At 43.5% G+C, this 21720-nt stretch overlaps 1 protein-coding gene and 2 pseudogenes across 2 annotated transcripts in view, besides 4 other annotated features; all 3 read right to left on the reverse strand.

Annotated features, from left to right (window-relative positions):
• ANKH (ANKH inorganic pyrophosphate transport regulator) overlaps nucleotides 1-13619 on the reverse strand; it is a 166979-nt gene extending 153360 nt beyond the window's left edge. For both annotated transcript variants that reach the window (NM_054027.6, XM_011514067.2), the window contains exon 1: nucleotides 13193-13619. In NM_054027.6, coding sequence (NP_473368.1) covers nucleotides 13193-13288 — 96 coding nt within the window. In that variant the 5' untranslated portion in view covers nucleotides 13289-13619. The remainder of the gene's footprint in view (nucleotides 1-13192) is intronic.
• Nucleotides 12251-12300: an enhancer, noted in NCBI's record as "active region_22417". NCBI's record gives its function as "activates an Ori minimal core promoter by ATAC-STARR-seq in GM12878 lymphoblastoid cells {active_cell/tissue: GM12878}" and the evidence as "EXISTENCE:reporter gene assay evidence [ECO:0000049][PMID:35858748]".
• Nucleotides 13359-13448: a silencer, noted in NCBI's record as "silent region_15944". NCBI's record gives its function as "represses an Ori minimal core promoter by ATAC-STARR-seq in GM12878 lymphoblastoid cells {active_cell/tissue: GM12878}" and the evidence as "EXISTENCE:reporter gene assay evidence [ECO:0000049][PMID:35858748]".
• Nucleotides 13629-13978: a silencer, noted in NCBI's record as "silent region_15945". NCBI's record gives its function as "represses an Ori minimal core promoter by ATAC-STARR-seq in GM12878 lymphoblastoid cells {active_cell/tissue: GM12878}" and the evidence as "EXISTENCE:reporter gene assay evidence [ECO:0000049][PMID:35858748]".
• Nucleotides 13989-14248: a silencer, noted in NCBI's record as "silent region_15946". NCBI's record gives its function as "represses an Ori minimal core promoter by ATAC-STARR-seq in GM12878 lymphoblastoid cells {active_cell/tissue: GM12878}" and the evidence as "EXISTENCE:reporter gene assay evidence [ECO:0000049][PMID:35858748]".
• On the reverse strand, nucleotides 16242-16552 carry UQCRBP3 (ubiquinol-cytochrome c reductase binding protein pseudogene 3; annotated as a pseudogene).
• HNRNPKP5 (heterogeneous nuclear ribonucleoprotein K pseudogene 5) lies at nucleotides 19436-19790 on the reverse strand (annotated as a pseudogene).

Raw genomic sequence — 21720 nt, forward strand, 5'->3', positions numbered from 1 at the left:
ATTTTTGGAGTACAGGTGGTTTTTGCTTACATGGTTTGGTGCACCTGTCACCTAAGCAGTGTACACTGTACCCAATGTGTAGTCTTTTATCCCTCACCCGCCTCCCACCCTTCCCCCAGAGCCCCCAAAGTCCTTTGTATCATTCTTATGTCTTTATATCCTTACAGCGTAGCTCCCAATTCATCAAATTTTAGATGAATATTTAAAATCAAGAAAAATTGCCTACGATAAAAAGTAGGGAAAGGTTACAATATTGTTTTAAAATATACGCATAGTGCCAGATGTGGTGGCTCTCGCCTGTAATCCTAACACTTTGGGAGGCCAAGGGGGTGCGGATCACAAGGTCAGGAGTTTGAGATAAGCCTGGCCAGCATGGCGAAACCCCGTCTCTACTAAAAATACAAAAATTAGCCAGGCATGGTGGGTAATGCCTGTAGTCCCAGCTACTCGGGAGGCTGAGGCAGGAAAATCGCTTAAACACAGGAGGCGGGGGTTGCAGTGAGCCGAGATCGGGCCACTGCACTCCAGCCTGGGCAACAGAGTGAGAATCCATCTCAATAAATAAATAAATAAATAAATAAATAAATAAATAAATAAATAAAATAAAATAAAATATATGCACAGAAAAGAGATAAGAAGATTATGCACTAAAATAAGATACAGATTTCTAGGTGGTGGGCTTGCATAAGATATTCTTATTTTCTTTTTGATACTTTTCCTTCTTTTAAAAATGAAAATGAATGGTATCTGTAACTACAATACAATTAATAAATTTAGTCTTTTTTTTTTAAAAGGGAGATCCTCTTCAAATACCACAGGCTTTTCCAGTGGCTTATGGTGTTAATTGAAAGTTTTTCATTTTGATAAAATATACATAAAAATGTATCATTTTAATAATTTTTAAGTGTACAATTCAGTGGCATTAAGTATCTGCACATCATTGCCATCCATCTCTAGAGCTTTTTCATCACCCCAAATTGAAACTATGCCCATCAAACAACAGCTCCCTATTCTCCTCTCCCCTGGCCTCTGGTAACTACTATTCTACCTTCTATCTCTACAAACTTGACTGTTCTGCATACCTTATATAAATGCAATCAACCATAAGACAGTTGTCTTTTTGTGTCTGTCTTATTTTACTTAGCATAATGTCTTCAAGGTTTGCCTATATTGTAGCATACATCGTAATTCCTTTTTAAGGCTGTATAATAGTCCATTGCCTGTATATGCCCCATTTTGCTGTAGGACATTAGTTTTTTAATGCAGGCTTTTAAAACCATGTCTGAACATCAAAATGATCAACAGTACACATAATTTAAGATGTGTACCATTGGAAACAATTATTTTACAAACTCTCCACCTGCTGAAAAGCCACTAAAATACTCAATATTAGGCTATATTTTGCAATAAGAAAGAATAAGGTGCTAGACACTGTAATAACAATGCACATGTGTCATTTTCATGAGCAGTTACAAAGGCTGGCTCAGGAATCAGAACAGTGGTTGACTAGGAAGACTGCAAAGGGGCACTGTGGATATATCTGGGCTGATGGAAATGTCCCATATCCTCATGGTGTGGATTACACACAGGTACGCATCCGTCATTTGACAAAACTCACAGACCTATACAGTTAAGATCTGTACACTTCACTTAGAGCCTAAAGGAAATCAGAGTAAAATATGAATTTTACAAAAACAAAGGAGATTCTACAGTTCAGCTAGTGAGACTTACTGCCATCCACCACTTTAGGGCCCTTTGGCAGGTCTCTACTATACCTGGAATTAAGCCCAAGCTCCTTGCTATTTGGTGCTGAAACACTGGTTTGTCTAGGAGAGGCTGGGAAACATGTGGTGGACTAACTACCTACAATGCCAGGAAATCTGCCCACGTTTAGGAGACAGCCCAATAGGCATGAGCCGCAGGTGGTGGAATGCCTCTGCGTGGGGGTACAAATGAGGTACAACCAGCTGCACGCCAGGCTCCAGGCCAGGTGTCTTCTCAGGTGATGCAAGGCTGCATCCAAAACCATCCCAAAGAAACAAGGTCTCTCTCCAGAAGGCGGTGAGGGAGGGACATTCGAACACAGAAACCTGCAGAGGAGGAGGGTGTTGTCTTGACTCCCTTGTCAGGCTGGCTGCAAGCTGTCTTTCCAGTCACTGTGGCCTTGGACTTGGCTAGAATCACGAAGAGCTGAAAGTTACTGCCTCCTTATTAAGTGTGGTTATTTGTTACTCTCCTCTGTGCAGTTTGCCTTTATAAAATGTCAAGTTTAGGCCACACATGGTGGGAGGCCTCAGCGTCCCAGCCACAGTGAATTTCCTCTAAACCATTTAAAGCACTAAGAAGTCAGAGAATTTTGTGTTGTTGTTATTTACTATTTTATATTCTCCACACTACTATTCCCCTCTATTAAAATGCAAGACCCAGTGGCCAGTCGATCTCCAGGTGGTTCACGGATAAAAAAGCATACAAACTTCTTATCACCTTAAAAACAGTTTTGGAAACACAAAGCAGCCCCAGCTAAGTCAAACGGCAAATTAGAAAACGGCAGGCAGAAACTCAAATACTCTCCTCCACTTAAACGTTATATATATTTTTATTTTATTATTAATTTATTTTGAGATGGAGTCTTGCTGTGACGCCCAGGCTGGAGTGCTGCGATGCCCAGGCTGGAGTGCACTGGCATGATCTCGGCTCACTGCAACCTCCACCTCCTGGGTTCAAGTGATTCTCCTGCCTCAGCCTCCCAAGTAGCTAGGACTACAGGCGCCCACCACCACACCCGGCTAATTTTTGTATTTTTAGTGGAGATGGAGTTTCACCATGTTGGTCAGGCTGGCCTTGAACTCCTGAGCTCAAGTGATCTGCCCACCTAGGCCTCCCAAAGTGCTGGCAGGCATGAGCCACCGTGCCCGGCCTACATATATTTTTTAAGTGAAGCAAGGGTTCTGAAAAGCTTACTAATGTGGACTCACTATAATTTGAATGAAAGGCAGTAACCTGAAGTAACTAGTTCTCACAACATAAATGCTCGCACAGGATGACTGAACCTCCAAGACTCCAAGCACATAATATTCCTCTTTGGGACATGCACAGAATAAGCCACCTTTCCTTCTCACGTCCTCAGAAGCTGATAACCACAAAGCTGACCTCTGCCCCTCCTGGTTCCTGGTTCATCTGGCTCACTAGGAAAATCCTCATTAACCTGTCAGCAGACATTCTGCTTTCCAGCCATTTAATCAGGATGACAAAATGTCCTAAGAAGCCTCAACCTCACTTTTGAAGCCATCTTTGAAACTCCCTATCTGAGGACTCTGCTCTGTTTTTGGATTTCTCCCCAGCCTGGAGCCAGAGGTCCTCACTGGCATATTTCTGCCTGGGTGAGATAGCCTAGTGGGTGTGGTGTGTGGCAGTGCCTGTCACCTCCTCATGCTCCAGAGTACACAGCCACACACGTACAGCCCCTCCTCTGTCCCCCAGGCTGGGGACAGTGATGTCAGCCCATCTTATTGAGGAGACTGTAGATTCTTATCGACAGCCCACCTTTCAGTGCCTCTGAAAAATGTCATTACTGATCTAAAAACCAGCTAGGACCTGCAAACTAACTTAAACCAAAACATCCTCCCCCGAACTAGGGACAAAGCTGGTCAGTCTGTCCCTAGGGACCCTGAACCAGATGTAGACTGTCTTTTGATAACATTTTATCTAGAGGAATAAATATTGTCCCCAACCTTTGCCCTGACAAATAACCAAGTTACTTTCCTTCCCTGGATGGACTTTAAGAGTACTTTTGGGGCTGAGCATGGTAGCTCACACCTGTAATCCCAGCACTTTGGGAGGCCAAGGCAGGTGGATCACTTGAGGTCAGGAGTTTGAGACCAGCCTGGCCAACATGGTGAAACCCCGTCTCTACCAAAAATATGGAAATCAGCTGGGCATGGTGGCACATGCCTCTAATCCCAGCTACTCAGGAGGCTGAGGCAGGGGAATCGCTTGAACCCAGGAGGTGGACGTTGCAGTGAGCTAAGACCACGCCACTGCACTCTAGCCTGGGCAACAAGAGCGAAACTGTCTCAAACAAACAAACAAAAAAAGAGCATTTTTGCTATGAAGAAGCAACTACATAGGAGAAACAGTAAATTCTGATGAATAAACCTTCTAGTTGACTGAAATCCCTCCTAAATGTTTTCATTGTAATTTTAAGCTCATTTGTTCTCATAGCATCATGACTGGTATTTGGTTGTTGGAACAGGAACTGAATGATACCAAAGCCAGGGAAAACTAATTAACCAACAAAGAAAAACAACACCTGGGCTGATACGGCTTGATATGAATGACCTATCTTGCAATTCCATCTTCATCTTCTGCAGACCAGAGCTCTCCACGTTCCCCAGCAGAGCATTTAGAGAGGTAAGGCAGGAGGTGAGAACATCCAGATGAGAACTATGTCCAAACATCTTGCTGTTTCATGTCCACAGACTTACTGCTCTGCTGCAATTAGTGAGCACCTCGTTGTGTGTCATAATAAACTCTGCTGTATAATTAGACATTTTGCTCTGTGCTGCTCTGTTTGCAAAGGTGTTTCACGTATGTTTTCTTAACCAGGATCTAAACAATTTGAGGGCAGGGGCTGGCTCGAATACAGCCATGCTTCCTTGACTTTTCAAAAATCACTTCACTGCCATTGGCCCTAGAATCTCTCTAGAACAGACACAAAATGACAGCAGGAAAACGAGTGTCATGAAGTACAAATGCTTTTCCCAAAGGAAGCCACCAAAGTTACTCCTTCATTTTTCCTGGCATTCTAGTGAATTTTAGTTGCCTGGGCCCAGAGCAAGTCCACAGCAGAACATCAAAAAGCAAGAACTCAATAAATATTAGCTATGTTTATGGTGTTTGTGTTATCATTAAGTGGTTACACGGGCATACTGCACAGCAAGAAGAGGAAACTGAGTCCTTAGTAACCAGTTACTGAAACCAGTAGCAACTGATTACCACTAACCAGTTGACTGGCAACTGGTTAGTATTAAAATGATAAAAGCAGGCACATAGCCTATAAAAAAATTTTTTTTAAACCCTACCACACACCTAAGAGTCTCAAGAAGGCCACAACACTACTGGTCATGCAGGGCTCAGGACTGGGCCAAGGTCAGCTCCCACTGGTTGGTGCCAATCCCTCGGTTAAGTACTTTGAATCTCACGTGACTGCCTGGCACAATGGACATTCACAGCCTCCAAAGATGCTATGTTATGATTTGCCATATGATACTCATTTAATAAGGTAGATAAATGTGCAGTATAGGCTAGACTTCCAACAACCCTAGTTCTCATACTAAAAAAAGGAAAAACCCAGTGACTTCCACTTTGAAGTATTAGCTTCAGTTATGAAGCAAATTCACTCATGTGGATTGCTCAGACCCAGGTAAGGCTGTAGAAAACTAGATTTTTCTCTATTGCATCTCTGCAGAAACTAATAGAGTCACAGGTGTTCAAAAAATACCTGATTTTTTCTTTTTTTAATGTAGACACCACCCAAGTCACTCTGGTATGCTATATCAGGAGCTTAAAGAGGTTTATTTACTCACACAAGACAGTAAAGGAATGGTTCTCCACCCATGCTCTCTCCTCCTCCCACCCAACATAACCTGCTCCATTGTCCCAAACCAAATATGAAAACCAAATTATTCACCATTAATTTACAACTGGGCTTGTCTCATCTAAAAAGTGGTTCCCATAAACGGTATCACACTGTACCCTTTAAAAACTGTTTTTAGGCTGGATGTGGTGGCTCGTGCCTGTAATCCCAACAGTTTGGGAGGCTGAGATGGGAGGATTGCTTAAGCCCAGGAGTTCGAGACCAGCTTGGGCAACATCACAAGACCCAATCTCTACAAAAATAAAAAAATTAGGCAGGCATGGTTCCATATGCCTGGAATCCCAGCTACTCAGAGGCTGAGGCTGGAGGATGGCTTTAGCCCCGGAATTTGAGGCTGCAGTAAGCTGTGTTTGCACCATTGTTCTCCAGCCTGGGCCACACAGTGAGACTTGTCTCAAAACAAAACAAAATAAAAACTGCTTTTAAAGAATTTGATCTATTACTAGGAAGAGATTTAAATATTGTTTCTGTATGATGGATATGCTTGGAAGTATGTAGATAGATTAGTATCTAGGCTGGTCATCAAACCACCTCAATAAATAAATGAATGAGTAAACGAGTAAACAAACCAACCTCAGGATTATACCTCTGTGGCTCTAGAAACAACCCGCTTACCTAAGTCATCCTAAGAGAGGTATTTTAAATGCAGATGGACATCTAAAGAAAACTGGGAAACACAGCAGGGAAGTAAGTACCAAGTGGACTAAGGAGGTCACAGTGTCCTTGACTAAATATGGACTGTAAGAAAGGCATGACCTCATTTTCTATGTATGAATTGGACACTGAAATAGGCACCAAATTATGCCAGGCATAAAGCCCAAGGCAGTCAGAGAAAACACATTACCTACTTAATACACAAAGATGTTCATTGAAACTTTATATTGCAAAAACAAACAAACCTGTGTTTAACAATAAGGTAATACATGCAAAAGGAATTACAGCATGCTCTCATAACCACATATTATGCTGCAATTTAAAATCATACTTAAATACTTTTAAATAGTTTAGGGAAAATGCTTCTGTGTTTTGTGAAACATACACACATACACACCATTTTTTATATGTGTGTATATATAATGTATACACACACACACTTACCCCACACACACACATACCCCACATACACATATATTTCCTCAATTATGTTATAAAAATAAATCGGCGGCCAGGCGTGGTGGCTCACGCCTGTAATCCCAGCACTTTGGGAGGCCGAGGCAGGGGGACGACCTGAGGTCAGGAATTCGACACCAGCCTGACCAACATGGAGAAACCCTGTCACTACTAAAAATATAAAATTAGCCAGGCATGGTGACGCATGCCTGTAATCCCAGCTACTTGGGAGGCTGAGGCAGGAGAATCACTTGAACCCGGGAGGCGGAGGTTGTGGTGAGCTGAGATCACACCATTGCACTCCAGCCTGGGCAACAAGAACAAAACTCCGTCTCAAAAAATAATAATAATGATAATAAATTAAATAAAATAATAAATTGGCAGGAGATACCCAAATTGTTAAATGAGTTTTAGGAGTGAAATTAGAGGCATTTTTTCACATTTAAAAAATATTTACCAAACTTTAAACAATTAGCTGATATTACTTCTATTTATAATTAGGAAAAATAATTATTTTGAAATTTATTCTGTTACTACAGAATAGACTGGAGGGGGAAAGTCTCCCTCACAGTGACTCGGAGCCTTAGCTTGAGATTTCCATTTCTTTCTTTAAGCACTTTAGGAAGTGGATCTTACAACAGATCCCTGTCATGTTCCTTAAGGCAAGCTCTTAAGCACTGTCAAAGGAGGTCCTCTCCATTGCTCAGTGACTTTTGATGAAGAGTCTCTTCCCTGTTGAAGCCAGTGCCATATACTGCATCTGTCCTTTTTATTCCTATTCCTCCTAATCGAATGAAATACTTTTGTTATACTTTGGGAGGAGGTGTGGAGAGGGTGCACTTCTCCAAGCTATTTTTCCTGGGCTTCTCTTTTTGTCCATCTTGTGATATTAATAATTTGGAACCCTCTTATACTGTGGAAGCCTAACTCTAGGTTTCCTAAATAGAAAGGGCTGAAGATATATGAACACTCCTATTACACATCTTATTCCAGGAATTGTCACAATTCATGTGCAAAACTCTCCATTCACAGATAAACAGCTCTGGTCTTTGAATTATCATATTAGACCCAACCAAATTCAGTGAATCATACAAGGCAATTTGAAATATCTAAAGTATCTGAAAGGTATTGAGGTATTCAGTGCGGTCTCAGCTCACTGCAACCTCCGCCTCCCAGGTTCAAAAGATTCTCCTGCCTCAGCCTCCCAAGTAGCTGGGATTACAGGTGCCTGCCATCATGCCCCGCTAATTTTGTATTTTTAGTAGAGACGGGGTTTCTTCATGTTGGCCAGGCTGCTCTTGAACTCCTGACCTCAGGTGATCCACCTGCCTTGGCCTCCCAAAGTGCTGGGATTACAGGCGTGAGCCACCGCGCCTGGCACCATTTCTCCTTTGAGCATGAAAGAGTAGATCACCTGGCCCTAGGCAGAACACATTTCTTAAGTGAGAACAATTTCAACTTTCTTTTCTCCTTCAAGGTCTTCACAGCAACGTTGCCCTTAATATTTTAAGTAATACTGAGTACCTTTTTAAAAAGCTCACTAATTTGTTCTATGTCATTTGGTGAATTTGGCTTTTAAGGAAATTGGGGACTCTGAACCAAATTTAAACAGAATAACAATTCTTTGGACATGGTGAGATCAAATGGACATTTGCAGATACTTTAAAAGAAATATATTTTTTAAAAACTATCTCAACATGCTCCTTTCCTTAGCAATCTGTATTGTTTTAATGACAAAGACCAAGTGACTTCTAAATAACTTTATTGTGAGGTATCAGTTGTTTCTTTCATCCCCCCTTGACCAAAAGCTATGCCAACCTTGTTAAAATAAGATACAGTGTTGACTTAATTATCTGGGTAATTAAGCTTTTCTTAAAATGAACTTCTTGGTCATAATATCCCTTTCCTGGAAGCCCTCCTTTTAATCATCCTACATCTGTTGAGTTTTTAAAATTCAATATACAGGCCAGATGTGGTGGCTCACGTTTTGGAAGGCCAAGGTAGGTGGATCACGTGAGCTCAGGAGTTGAAGACCAGCCTGGGCAACATGGTGAAACCCCGTCTCTACAAAATATACAAAAATTAGCCGGGGGTGGTGGTGCACGCCTGTAGTCCCCGCTACTCGGGGGACTGAGGCAGGAGAATCGCTTGAGCCTGGGAAATGGTGGCTGCATTGAGCCAAGATCACACCACTGTACTCTAGCCTGGGCAACAAGTGAGACTCAGTCTCAAAAAAAAAAAAAAAAAAAAAAATTCAATATACGACAGCTAAGATTAAATTTAGACCTAGTCTGGGAATCAGAAAAGCTAGAACTTATTCCTAAATTTATAAAGACCAGGTGGGTATGGGCTTGAACCTTAGCTCTGCCATTTACTACCCGTGTCATCTTGAACAAGTACCTTAACAAGCGTAGGCCTCTCATTGTTTCCTCATATATATCATATGCTGAGATACAGGCACATACTAGGTGCTCAATCAATGTACGTGATTAATACTTTTGATTCTCAATCTGTAAAAATTGAGATAAAATAATTCTAGATATACAATGATTGTAAAGTATTTTATATACCTATAGGGCTCTATAATATAAACGTTTCTTCAGTTTCTGCAAAAGGAGATGTGTTCCCATTTTCTTTTTTTTTTTGAGACGGAGTCTCGCTCTGTCGCCCAGGCCGGACTGCGGACTGCAGTGGCGCAATCTCGGCTCACTGCAAGCTCCGCTTCCCGGGTTCACGCCATTCTCCTGCCTCAGCCTCCCGAGTAGCTGGGACTACAGGCACCCGCCACCGCGCCTGGCTAATTTTTTGTATTTTTAGTAGAGACGGGGTTTCACCTTGTTAGCCAGGATGGTCTCGATCTCCTGACCTCATGATCCACCCGCCTCGGCCTCCCAAAGGTGTTCCCATTTTCTATGGTGCCTATGTTTAATATTAAAAGCAGATCATTTTATTCCATAGAGCTTTTTTTAGTACAAAATTCAAACGCTCCCCCCACCACCTCAAATTACTGCCACTACCAAAATTGAAAAAATGTGATAATAGGTTTTGCTAGTTTTGTTAGAGGAAATAGTCCATAAGATTTGGTTTCCTCCCTGACTGAGCTATAAAATGACTAAGAAATCTATATACAACAGGTAATGTTCATGGAGAATATCAGAAGTTTCTGGAGAGACTGTTACAGGCTCTTTCCTAGCCCCTCCACACACACTGGCTCTGGGGTCATTAACAGGTAATTCCTTTACATGGTCACGTATGTGCAGCTTATTTAACTTTCAGTGGAATCTTATACATAGCTGGATTTCCATTTCAAAAGATCTGTACATGTTTTTAAAAGAAACCATAAACTGTGATATTTATCATCATAAAACACCTCATCTAAGAAACATTTAACATAATTTTGCTATTGTTTTGTTCTTGACAAGCCAGGAACTTAAAAGCTCATGAGAGGTTTTATTTTTTAATTTTGCATTTCTTTTTTTTTTTTTTTTTAGACGGAGTCTTGCTCTGTCGCCCAGGCTGGAGGGTGCAGTGGTACAGTCTTGGCTTACTGCAACCCCTGCCTCCTGGGGTTCAATGCAATTCTCCCACCTCAGCCTCCTGAGTAGCTAGGATTACAGGCATGCAATACCATGCCTGGCTAATTTTTTGTTTGTTTGTATTTTTTAGTAGAGATAGAATTTCATCATGTTGGCCAGGCTGGTCTCGAACTCCTGACCTCAAGTGATCCATCCACCTCACCTCCCAAAGTGCCGGGATTACAGGTGTGAGCTATAGCACCTGGCCTTTTTTTTTTTTTAATAGAGACGAGGTTTCACTATGTTGCCCAGGCTGGTTTTGAACTCCTGAGCTCAAGCGATCCTCCCACCTTAGCCTAAGCAATCCTCTAGCCTAAGCCTCCCAAAGTGCTAGGATTGATCTCCCCAAGTGCTACGATCATAGGCATGAGCCACCTTGCCCAGCCTAACTTTGCATTTCTTAATCATCTCAAAAGCACGTGAACCTGAGGCTGCATTGGCCTTTGTACTCCCGTGCTACCTCTCCATCTTAGGATTTGTAAATCGCTGACAAATAAGCCATCATTCACTCCCAGCAAGGTGTAATACACCTGCCCACTCAGCGGCAGTACCTACATGTGTCCATCTGTCTAGAACTCCATATAAACTCAAGGGCTGCATATTTTCAGCTAACGTAGACCCACTTTTGCAAACTGGTTCATTTCTCCTCCTCTTTACTGTGCTTCAGAAGAATTGGGGTAAAGTGTTCTTCTATTCATCACCCACACATACCAGGTCACTCTTCAGCTCCCACTGTAATTCTTTCCCTCCAGTTTAATGCTGAAAAGAGTAAGTCAGTCTCACTCTCTCTCACCCTGCAGCATTTTGCAAAAACAATTATCATCTGACACCAGAAGGCAAAGCAAGGTTTGGAAAACCTATCAATTTCTTCTCCCCATTTCTCCACCCTTAACTCTGTGATAAAATATCTCCGCCCTCCAGGCAGCCTATAACCTCATACTCTGGTGTTTTTGGGAAAAGGACCTCAAATGACACTTGTTGATAACATTTTGCTTCTCTGCAAAAACACAACTCCATTAAGTACTTTGCTTACATCAGCCATGATAATCAGGTTAGCAATGTTTTAAGGATGAGTTAGAATTATTAGACCTGCGAGGATAAACCATCTGGATAGTTGTCTCTTATGTTTAACCTCCCTTTTGTGACTTCAGGAGATTCTTTTTCTTATACTAAAATCAAACCTAGTTATGTCAGCCTTTCATTAAATCAAGGCAAAAGGGAGGCAATATTGTGGTATGCGTCAGGTGGTTTAATGATGACACAGACTACTCTTATTTCCACTAGTTATCTCGATATGATTCTTACATGCACACAAACACACACCAGTTCAGATGAGCAGCCTGGGCTTTCTGACAACCTTTGGGGCAGCTCCAAGAAGGTAAGCCTTAAAATAGGAAAGGCTCGAGTGAATATACAGCATTTGACTCATCTAAAATGGGCAATGTAGTAAATTCGTGTCTAAAAGCTTTTCTACGGATTGTAGGAAGTGTTCAAAGTCACCAGTTACTATAGAAAGAAGGGAAGGTGGGCGGGTACAGGGTGGAGCAGGGAAGAAGCCCTTGGGGTACCCTTGTGAGGCACTGGCAGGGCACAGTGGCAACGGAAGAGACAAGATTTTATCAAAGGACATTGGCTGGCGCGGTAAACAAAGGTCTCTAGAGAATATGCCATATTGTGAACACCTATCACCAACAAAATTCAAAGTAAAAAGTAGCTTACAATGTGGGCTACATATTAGAGAGCTTACAGAGTTGCAATTATTCAAAAGTTTTGAGCACAGAAAGACAAATCCAAACAGATATTCGTCAAACGAAGGAGTCACACAAATCTCCGATTTGTAACTGCCTCCTGAAAGCTGTTTTACTTTTACAATGAGTACTGCATCAAAATAGGTGCATATTCTAGATAAATATCCGTTTAAGTCTCTTGACTTAAAAGGAAAGAAGAAAGACAGTACCACAATACAGGAGTGCCGCTCGTCACACGCTCTGGCCACTTGGGACACCTGCCCATCAGGGTGGCATGTCACTGCCTCCCCATCACCAAATCCTCTCCCCGGCCTTAGAACGCAGCTGCATCCCGCTGGTGGCCCTGCCAAAACGGTCCCCACATGCAAAGTGCAGGGTGCCAATGCCCCATCGCTGGAGAGCTTGCAGCGCTAGATTTTCAATGACGCCACATGGAGAAAACGTGAAAAGAAACAAGGACGAGAAGGCGACCCCAAACAAAAATGTGCTCCCCTTCTTTAGTGGTCCATGAAAAAAAAAAAAGAAAGAAAGAAAGAAAGAAAAAAAAAGAAAAGGAAAAGGAAAAAAAAGAAATCCCAAACTAGAAATAAATGGTCAAGACCGGCTTATCAGGACACATTCGGGATACCCCTAATCCTTACCTGGACTACGAAACAAATGTTTAAAAATGGAAGTACCTGGGAAATCAACTTGGACGCATTATAAAACAGAATCTCCCCACCGTCACCATTACCACCAGCCATGGGTAAATAAAAACCCAGCACTTAAGCTACTAGAAACTACATTTTAATTAGAGCTGAGGTTTACATAATCGCAAATTACATAATACTGCCGTGCACTAAAAACCCTTCCATAGGTGAAGCTTCACACCATCCAGTCTTTTTAACATTTTCCAGAGAGGGCTGGAAAAGTCTGCTGAATAATTGAGGGGAGGGAGGGAGGGAATGGGGTGCTGGAAAAGTCACCCTTGACAAGCTGCACACCCGACCAAATGTTTCAGGATAAAGAGGGACTCGGAGCAGGTGACTCCCCTCCGCCCCCGTGTCCGGGCGTGTAAGGCCAAGGCAGGGCGAGCGGGCGTGGGGCGCGGGGCCGGGGCTTACCTGCTCCCCGAAGTCGATGGCTATGTTGGTGATGCCCAGGGGCACCAAGAACCGGATCAGGGGCCAGTAGTGCGTGAGCGCCGGGAATTTCACCATAGTCCCCGCCGTGGGCTGACCCCACACACATCTGCTGCCGCGAGGGGACTCTGCGGGGAGGCGAGGGGCGACGGGGCGACGGGGCGAGCGGGGCGCGGGCCGACAGAGGCCGCGGGCGGCGGGGCCTCGGGCGCGGCGGCGGCGGCTCCTCCTCGCGGCTGCGGCGCCTTCTCCGAGCGCGGCTGCTCTAGCAGGGGATCCGCAAGCTCAAGTCCATCCCTGCTGCCCTCCCACACAACAAAGATCTGCCGGGAAAAAAAAGAGGAGGGACGGCGGCGGCGGCGGCGGCGGCAGAAGGTTCTGCTGACAGCGGCTCCATTATAAGCGCTCTGGGGCCCGGAAATAAATAACCGCGCGCACGAGGCGCCGCCGCCGCCGCCGCCGCCCGGAGGAAATCAGGGGCGGGCGCGGAGGCGCGGACACCGCCAGCGGCCCCGGGGGCGGGCTGGGGAGGGGGCCGGGCCGGGCGCGCCGCGGCCTCCTTTCCTGTGCCGTCGCCTGCGCTTGGCGCGGCCGCGGGGGGCGCTGCGCACGCTCGGGCCGTGGGGCTGGCGCCTCCGGGGCGCTGGGCGGGACTCGCCGCGGAGCCTCGGCCGGCCCGGGGGCGGCGGCGCTGAGGGCGCGGCGGGGACGGTCTGGGGGCTTGGGGACGCCGGTGGGGGGTGAGGGCGGTGGGCCGCCTGGAGACCCCGGGGTGCCCTGGCTCGCCGGCCGGGCCCTGTAGCCCTCGTCCCGTGGGGCCGGGGGCCGGGGTTCCCGCGCTGTGCCGGGAGGGCCCGGCCGTCTGGAAGACTTGGCAGCCGGGGCAAGCGACGTGGGCTCGGACGCGCGAGGAGGGCTGGGGAGCGGGGCGCGGGGCTGGGAAGGGCGCCGTCCGGCGGTGGCCGGGCTGGCGGCGGGCGGGGACTGCGGAGGAGGCAGCTTGCGCCGGGGCTGGGGCCTGCTTCGGGGGACTAGCGGCCCGGGAGGTATGGAGGTGCCGCTCCGGGGGGGGCGAAAGAAACGTGGAAAGGTCGCCCAGGAGGGAGCCTGTCCCCCAGGGTTTCCAGGGGCAACGGTGGCCCGTGTCCCTGGAGGACATGCGCCAGGGCAGCAGGGAGTGGTCCCCGCAGGCTCCCAGGCTGGGGCCGGCCGCCTTCTGGGGCGCTCAGACCTGTCTGCTGCAGTTTGCAAACAGTACGCCCGAATTCTTTTCATTGTAAAAAATTTCTATTAAAAATAACTCGTAAAGCCTATCATCTCTTTTAAATAAAGGGGAAGAAAGAGGAAAGTGTGTTCTGTTTTGTAATACCGGGCCCCAGTGATTTCAGGGTAACTAGTCGCGGTGCTGAGAGTTTGACCTAAAGCTCGGCAGTGTGACAGCAACGCCAGCATCCCCGCACCCCAGGACTGTGACGCGAGGGAGGAGGACCCAGTGAATGAAAAGGGACTCTGGGCAGGGCTGGCTTCACGGGCGTGCGATCTGTGAAGTCACAGAGGGCCCGCACTTAAAAGGACTAACGCGCTGCTGTTGCACTCTTGAATTTGAACAAGGGTCTCTGCATTTTCATTTTGTAGTGGGCCTGGCATAGTATGTAGCCTATCGTGGTCTTACTATTTTATACCAACTCTCACACACATCTCTGCATTTAATAAATATAACGAAGTAAAGTAATTTATTATTAAAAGTAAGAAACTATCTTGTACCTAGAATGAACCGATTAACTCACAATTTAGCTTTGTAAAGCTTTTGTAAATAGTGAGCTTGAGACCTCAATATCCTGGGTTCAGGTATTTCCCAACTACTTTGAAAGTGTTAAATGTTTCCATAGGCCGGGCGTGAGCGGTGGGCGCCGGTAGCCCCAGCTACTCAAGAGGCTAAGGCAGGAGAATGGTTTGAACCCGGAAGACGGAGGTTGCAGCGTCACCCATGGCACTCCAGCCTGGGTGACAGAGTGAGACTCCCTCTCAAAAAATAATAAATAAATAAATAAATATTTCCATATTTTGCATCCTTTTTAAAATACTTTTTTGAAATTCCACACAATTTGAGCAGGCTTTGAAAAATAGGAAGCTAATTTACCTTGTAGCTCTGATGTAACCTCAAATTACATTCCCTATGATTAAAATTAAACTTGGTAAGTATTTATTGTTAAATGTGTCAAATAGCAATACTGTATTTAAAAGATTTCCCAGCAAAACAGGAGGTTCATGTGGACAGGACTGTCTTCAGGAGCAAGTTCCTGAAAGGTGTGTTTTAATATATTTGAATCTAACTTAAATATACAAAAAGGGAGCTTGTTATTTAAAGGAATTCTCTGGGAAAGAGGTTTTTTTTTTCCTAAAACAAATATCACCTCATGGTTTATCATTCTGTTATTCTAGGTTTCATGGGCTCATTTTACTTAGAGCAATCTAATTACACTGACCTTTGTCTAGAATGTGGGATTGATGAGGTCCTAGATCGATCTCCATCAAGTCCAGTTTGCTTTCATTGGTCTCTGGACAAGGACCGCCACAGCCCCCGCTGCCTGATGTGAATGCACACCTTTGGTCTTTAGGGGAATGATGAGAAAATTCCAGTGGATCAATGAAAGGTCATCATCCTTGTTTGAGTGTTCTAAAAGTGCATTTTTTAAATGAGTGATTTGGAAGTGTCATCTCTGATTATGGCAAAGAGCCCTTTTTAGATTTTAAAGGCCTATGAATTTCAGTAACACTGTGGCAACATGGAAACTAATGAGACATTTCATTATTTTTTCTGTCACAGTCAAAATCTGAAACAGATTTCAAAGAGATTTTTGGGCTCCTCTTTATTTTTTATTTTTTTGTTTTTTTAATATTACAATAGACTTTTATTTAAAGTGAAACATTGGCAGACCAAATAATTCTTAAATTATATGTTTCAGGTTTAACCATTTTCATAAAAATACTTGGAGGACAGCTACATCCACGGACTTCAAATATGTGATGACTTCTTTGACCATTCTCATTCTTTTCTTTCCCAAATAAGCGCTTTCAGATATGGCTCATGGTAGAATTTATCCTCTTCATGTTTGGTCCGCTGCTGTTAAGGCAAGATCTGCTGTCTCATAGGTCCAGTGTTCTAATGCGAAACATCCTGCCGTTAGAAAGCCGTCTTATGGCTTCCTTTACATCTTCATCTTCATATATTGTCTCATCTCACATTTACTTTAGTTTCTCGAATCCTGCAGCATTGTCATACCATTTTCAAATACCATCCAGCTACCTGTCTGATGCTGCGGTAGCCAGCCTGCCAGCCATCTTGACCCAAACGTGAAATGTTGCCTTCTCCCTCTCTCTTTTTATTTATTTATTTATCTAATTTATTTTATTTTATTTTTGAGGTGGAGTTTCGCTCTTGTCACTGGACCCAGGTTGGAGTGCAATGGCGCGATCTGAGCTCGCTGCAACCTCCACCTCCCAGATTCAAGCGATTCTCCTGCCTCAGCCTCCCAGGTAGCTGGGATTACAGGTGTGCACTACCACACCTGGCTAGTTTTTTGTATTTTTAGTACAGACAGGGTTTCACCATGTTGGCCAGGCTGGTCTTGAACTCCTGACCTTAGGTGATCCACTCACCTTGGCCTCCCAAAATTCTGGGATTACAGGTGTGAGCCACTGCACCCAGGCTCTCTTTTTAAACTTTGTTGTTTGAAAAGATAACTTCAGAATGTAAGTGATGAGAATGAGTAGGGAATTTCTTTTTAATTACCCAGAAGCCAAAAAGATATCCCCAAGTCATTGGGTGTTTTCTTTTGGAAGGTACAGCTTTATCTTCTATTTATAAAGTCTTAGACTTGATGACTTTTGGTCAAAAATCATTATAAGATTTACAAACTACACTCAATAGTGTAAGAAAAAAATACATGTAGAAAAAACATGCTGGAAGAAAATATGCTCAACTATTCACAGTGGATAGTTATTGCTGAGTGGTATGAATATGGCTGATTATTCCTTCCTGTGTATACTTTTCTGTGTTTAATGCAATGGGCATATATAAGTTTATTTTTTAAAAGTTTAAAAAAATTATAAAACTTTATTGGAAGTGCAAGGTAGCACTGAGTTCAGAGCATGGAAAAAGTTACGAAATTGCAAAACAATTTCGTAAATGACCAGCAATATCATTTTGGTGCCTAAAATTATTAACTCTAATTTTTTAAAGGAGCTAATGCAGAAAGAAAGACTAAAAGTTACATACATGTCTAATTTACCTTTTTTTCTGAAATTGATCTTAAATGAATGGATTCAAGTAACCCCCCACCCCCCACCGACCCCTCACCAAGGAACATCTGCAGCAAAGGGCAAAATGAAAGATCACGTTTAAGGTTATCCAGTTCTAGAACTCTGCAACTCAGACCTCCTTGACTTGAGGAACCCAATGATGTCAAGTTGGGATTGTAGCAGTGAACATGGTTTGGGAGCAGATGCCATATTGATTTGTGTAAGCTTGACCCAACAGGGTTATCTTCATTGATTCCATGCAATTATCCTATATCATGTATTTAGTATAGCCAACTTATTTAACAACTTTGATGGAAGGCTTAGTCCTAGAGATTGGTGTCTAGTTTTGAGTCACAAATCTCCAATATAGGGTAGACGAGGTGTAAATTTAAGCCTCACAGTTCTATATTTGGGCCACGAGTAATTATGCTCCATGGCTCGTTGGGAATGTGATAAGGGGAAGTCTACGATTTCAGCCTATTTATTTGTGTTCATGTAAACATCATCCTATTGATAAAGTCATGATTTCTGCCCAGTTGCCAGATTCCAAGAGAGCAAAAAGAGAAGTTACTTGCTTCGTCCCGGTTGTTAAGTTTTACTTTTGCTATTCCAGCCCAAAGCCTAGGTGTAATTTGCCTGGGCTAATTATTAGTCAGTTTCTGTACTCTCAGCACATGCCAGAAGTGGAGTTAGGAGGTGAGGGGAATGGGTAAATGATCCTGAAACTGTCATTTGCTGTAGATAAGCTAGAATTAGCTAGCTAAATTCTGCCAAGAGTTATAGTTATCGCTTTTAATGACTTCCTTAATAATATTTTTAAAGGGACCACACAGATGCTTCAAAATGTGTGCTGTAAAAAGGAATGGGGAAGAATTCTATATACTGATATGGAATAATCTGTAGAATATTTTGTTAAGTGAGAAAAGCAAGGTGCCAAATCATAAAATGGTATTATGCTATTTTGGGGGCAAAAAGGGAGAGAAATATGAATATGGGGGTGTGTGTGTGTGTGTGTGTGTGTGTGTGTGTGTGAATTTGGTTATATTTGTGAAAAGACACACTAGTAGGATAAGCCAAAAATTAATTAAACGTTTATGAGAGAAGGAAGAGAACAGGTTGGAGTTGGGATGGAAGAATGATTTCTCTGAATGTACCTTAGAATCTAATTTTGGCTTTGGAAACATTCATGTTTTACATGTTGAAAAAATAAAATTAAATCAAAAGAAAAATTGACAGCAGATACATTTCACACAAGTGTTTTTCTTACTTAGTACCCTTTTATTCTGAGGAAAGAATTTGAGGCAGCTTAAATCAGAGCACAGATATATACTGTATGCACTTTGATAAATTTTGATTTTTCTATAACTGCTAGAGAATAAAACCATTTGGAGAGACTCTTGCCAGGGCAACTGTGTAATCTGGTGGCACTGTGTATTGGTAACTACTAACTCACTCCTTCCTCTGAAAAGTGACCTAAAAAACAAGAGTAAGTTTTGGGATAGATTCTGCTTCTGCCCCTCAGAAATGACACCACCACGAGCTGACTTTCAGGATTCTTGAAGTAATGTAGTTTATACAGGTAAGCATTTGATGATTTGCTGCTTATATTTGGCTCATAATGATGCAACATAAAAGGTGAGCATATATGTAATTCATCCTGGCTCTGCAAACCGCAGGTCTGGCAAGGCTTAATAAGGAGAGTGGAATGAAGAGCTGCAACTAAGACTAAACTAAAACTACTTTTTGTTCTCCTTTTTCCCTCTTTCTTCAACTTCTGATTGTTTTGTTTAAATGACCAGAATAAGATAGAATGCCTGTAATTAAAAATATTTAATAAAGCTTACGTTATTATCCTTGCCACCTATTCAAAATCTTCTAAAAATTTTTTCCACCATCTAAAGGAGATACTACTTAATTATATAAAAGGTAGGTAATAAAATACATTTCTCTTTTTCTAATCAGGCAGTGAGGCATAAACTGTTGGGACATGCTGCTCGGGGCCCCTGCTGTCTGGGACTAAAGCATTGGCATTGTGGTCTGTACGGAGAAACTTCATATTCTTGCTTCCTTTTCCAGTCACTGCCCCAGCATTCTGCTCTGAAGCAGAATGCCTAATTCAACCATCTCATCAGTGTTTCTAGATCTTTAAATGCTTTTTCCTCTTTCATGTCTTCTGCAGGATGTTTACCAGAGTCACTGTTGATTTCGATGTTAGGGAAGGTTTCCTCTGGCTGTTCAGTTTCCATTTTCTTGTATCAAATGGACACACCAATCCGTTGAAAAACAAAGAAGCTGGTACATTTGGCTTATTGGAAAGCAAGCTGTAAAAAAAAAAAAAAAAAAAAAAAAGACTCTGACTCTCTTTTTAAATTTATTAAAGCTCTTTTGAAATTTGTTAAAGCTCTTTTGGAATATCATTTCTTCCATAAAGATTTCCTGGGTAATTCTAGCTCACTTTGGTCACTTCTCTTCCATTTAATATTTTGGCAGTCAGAGTCAGGGCTGTATTCGTTTCTATTTCGAGTGTATAAGTCTGATATCTACCACAGAATATTACATTTCCTGAGGTTGAAACTATTTAGAGAAGGGATTCCCAACCCCTGGGCCATGGATAGGTACAGGTTTGTGGCATGTTAGGAACTGGGCCGCACAGTGGGAGGTGAATGGCGGGTAAGCAAGCAAAATTTCACCTGTATTTACAGCCACTCCCCATCACTCACATTACCACCTGGGCCCTGCCTCCTGTCAGATCAGTGGTGGCATTAGATTTTTTTTTTTTTTTTTTTTTGAGACGGATTCTCGCTCTGTCACCAGGCTGGAGTGCAGTGGCATGATCTCCGCTCACTGCAACCTCTGCCTCCCGGATTCAAGTGATTCTCCTGCCTCAGCCTCCCGAGTAGCAGGGACTATAGGCACGTGCCACCATGTCCAGCTAATTTTTGTATTTGTAGTAGAGACAGGGTTTCACCATGTTGGCCAGCATGGTCTCAATCTCTTGACCTCATGATCCGCCCACCTCAGCCTCCCAAAGTGCTGGGATTACAGGCGTGAGCCACTGCGCCCAGCTGGTATTAGATTTTCATAGGAGTATGAACCCTACTGTGAACTGTGCATGTGAGGAATCTGGGTTGTGGGCTCCTTTTGAGAATCTAATGCCCGATGATCTGTCGCTATCTCCCATCACTCCTAGATGGGACCGTCTAGTTGCAGGAAAACAAGCTCAGGGCTCCCACTGACTCTACATTATGGTGAGTTATATAATTATTTCATTGTGTATTGTAATAATAATAGAAATAAAGTGCACAATAAATGTAATGAGCTGGGATCATCTTGAAACCACCCTGCCCCCAGTCTGTGGAAAAATTGTCTCCCATGAAACTGGTCCCTGGTGCCAAAAAGATTGGGGACAGCTGATTTAGAGTACTGTTACATCTCCTTTCACCCTCCTTCTCCTGTATCCCTAAGGCAGTAATAGACACTAAATAATATGTTTTGAGTTGAGTGTTTTATGTGTTGTGTGTGTCTGTGTTTTTTTGTTTGTTTGTTTGTTTTGTTCTCGCTCCGTCACCCAGGCTGGAATGCAGTGGCACCATCTCTGCTCACTGCAACCTCCGCCTCCCGGGTTCAAACAATGCTCTGGCCTTAGCCTCCCAAGTAGCTAGGATTACAGGCAGCCACCACCATGCCCTGCTAATTGAGTGCAAGTTCTATGCAGAGAACCTTGCAGAGAATTTCACAGCCCACTGCAGTGGAGGGGCATCCCAGCAGAAGCCAAAACACTGGTGGTCTAGAGAGAAAGGGAAACCTGAAGAGTAAGTTCAGGGGTAAAGCAAGGGTACTGGGGGACAAGACTATGGAACTGTACATTTAGAGCTCAGACAGCTAGTGAAGGATCCATCAGGATGAGGGAGGGGCCGGGTGCAGTGACTCATGGCTATAATCTCAGCAGTTTGGGAGGCCAAGCTGGGAGGATCGCTTGAGCTCAGGAGTTTGAGATCAGCCTGGGCAATATAGTGAAACCCTATCTCTATCTTTAAAAATAAAAAAAGGTATTAAACAAAAAGATGAGGGAGGGATTGGAGTGTGCATTGCCCATTTTATTTTATTTTTTCATCATAATTATTAGCTATTCCTGGATTGAGCATTTTCCATGTGCCAGGAATGTTGTTAGGCACCTCACATGCGCTGTGACGTGCAATCTTCAGAGC

This window comes from Homo sapiens, chromosome 5, assembly GCF_000001405.40.
Source record: "Homo sapiens chromosome 5, GRCh38.p14 Primary Assembly".
Taxonomy (NCBI): domain Eukaryota; kingdom Metazoa; phylum Chordata; class Mammalia; order Primates; family Hominidae; genus Homo; species Homo sapiens.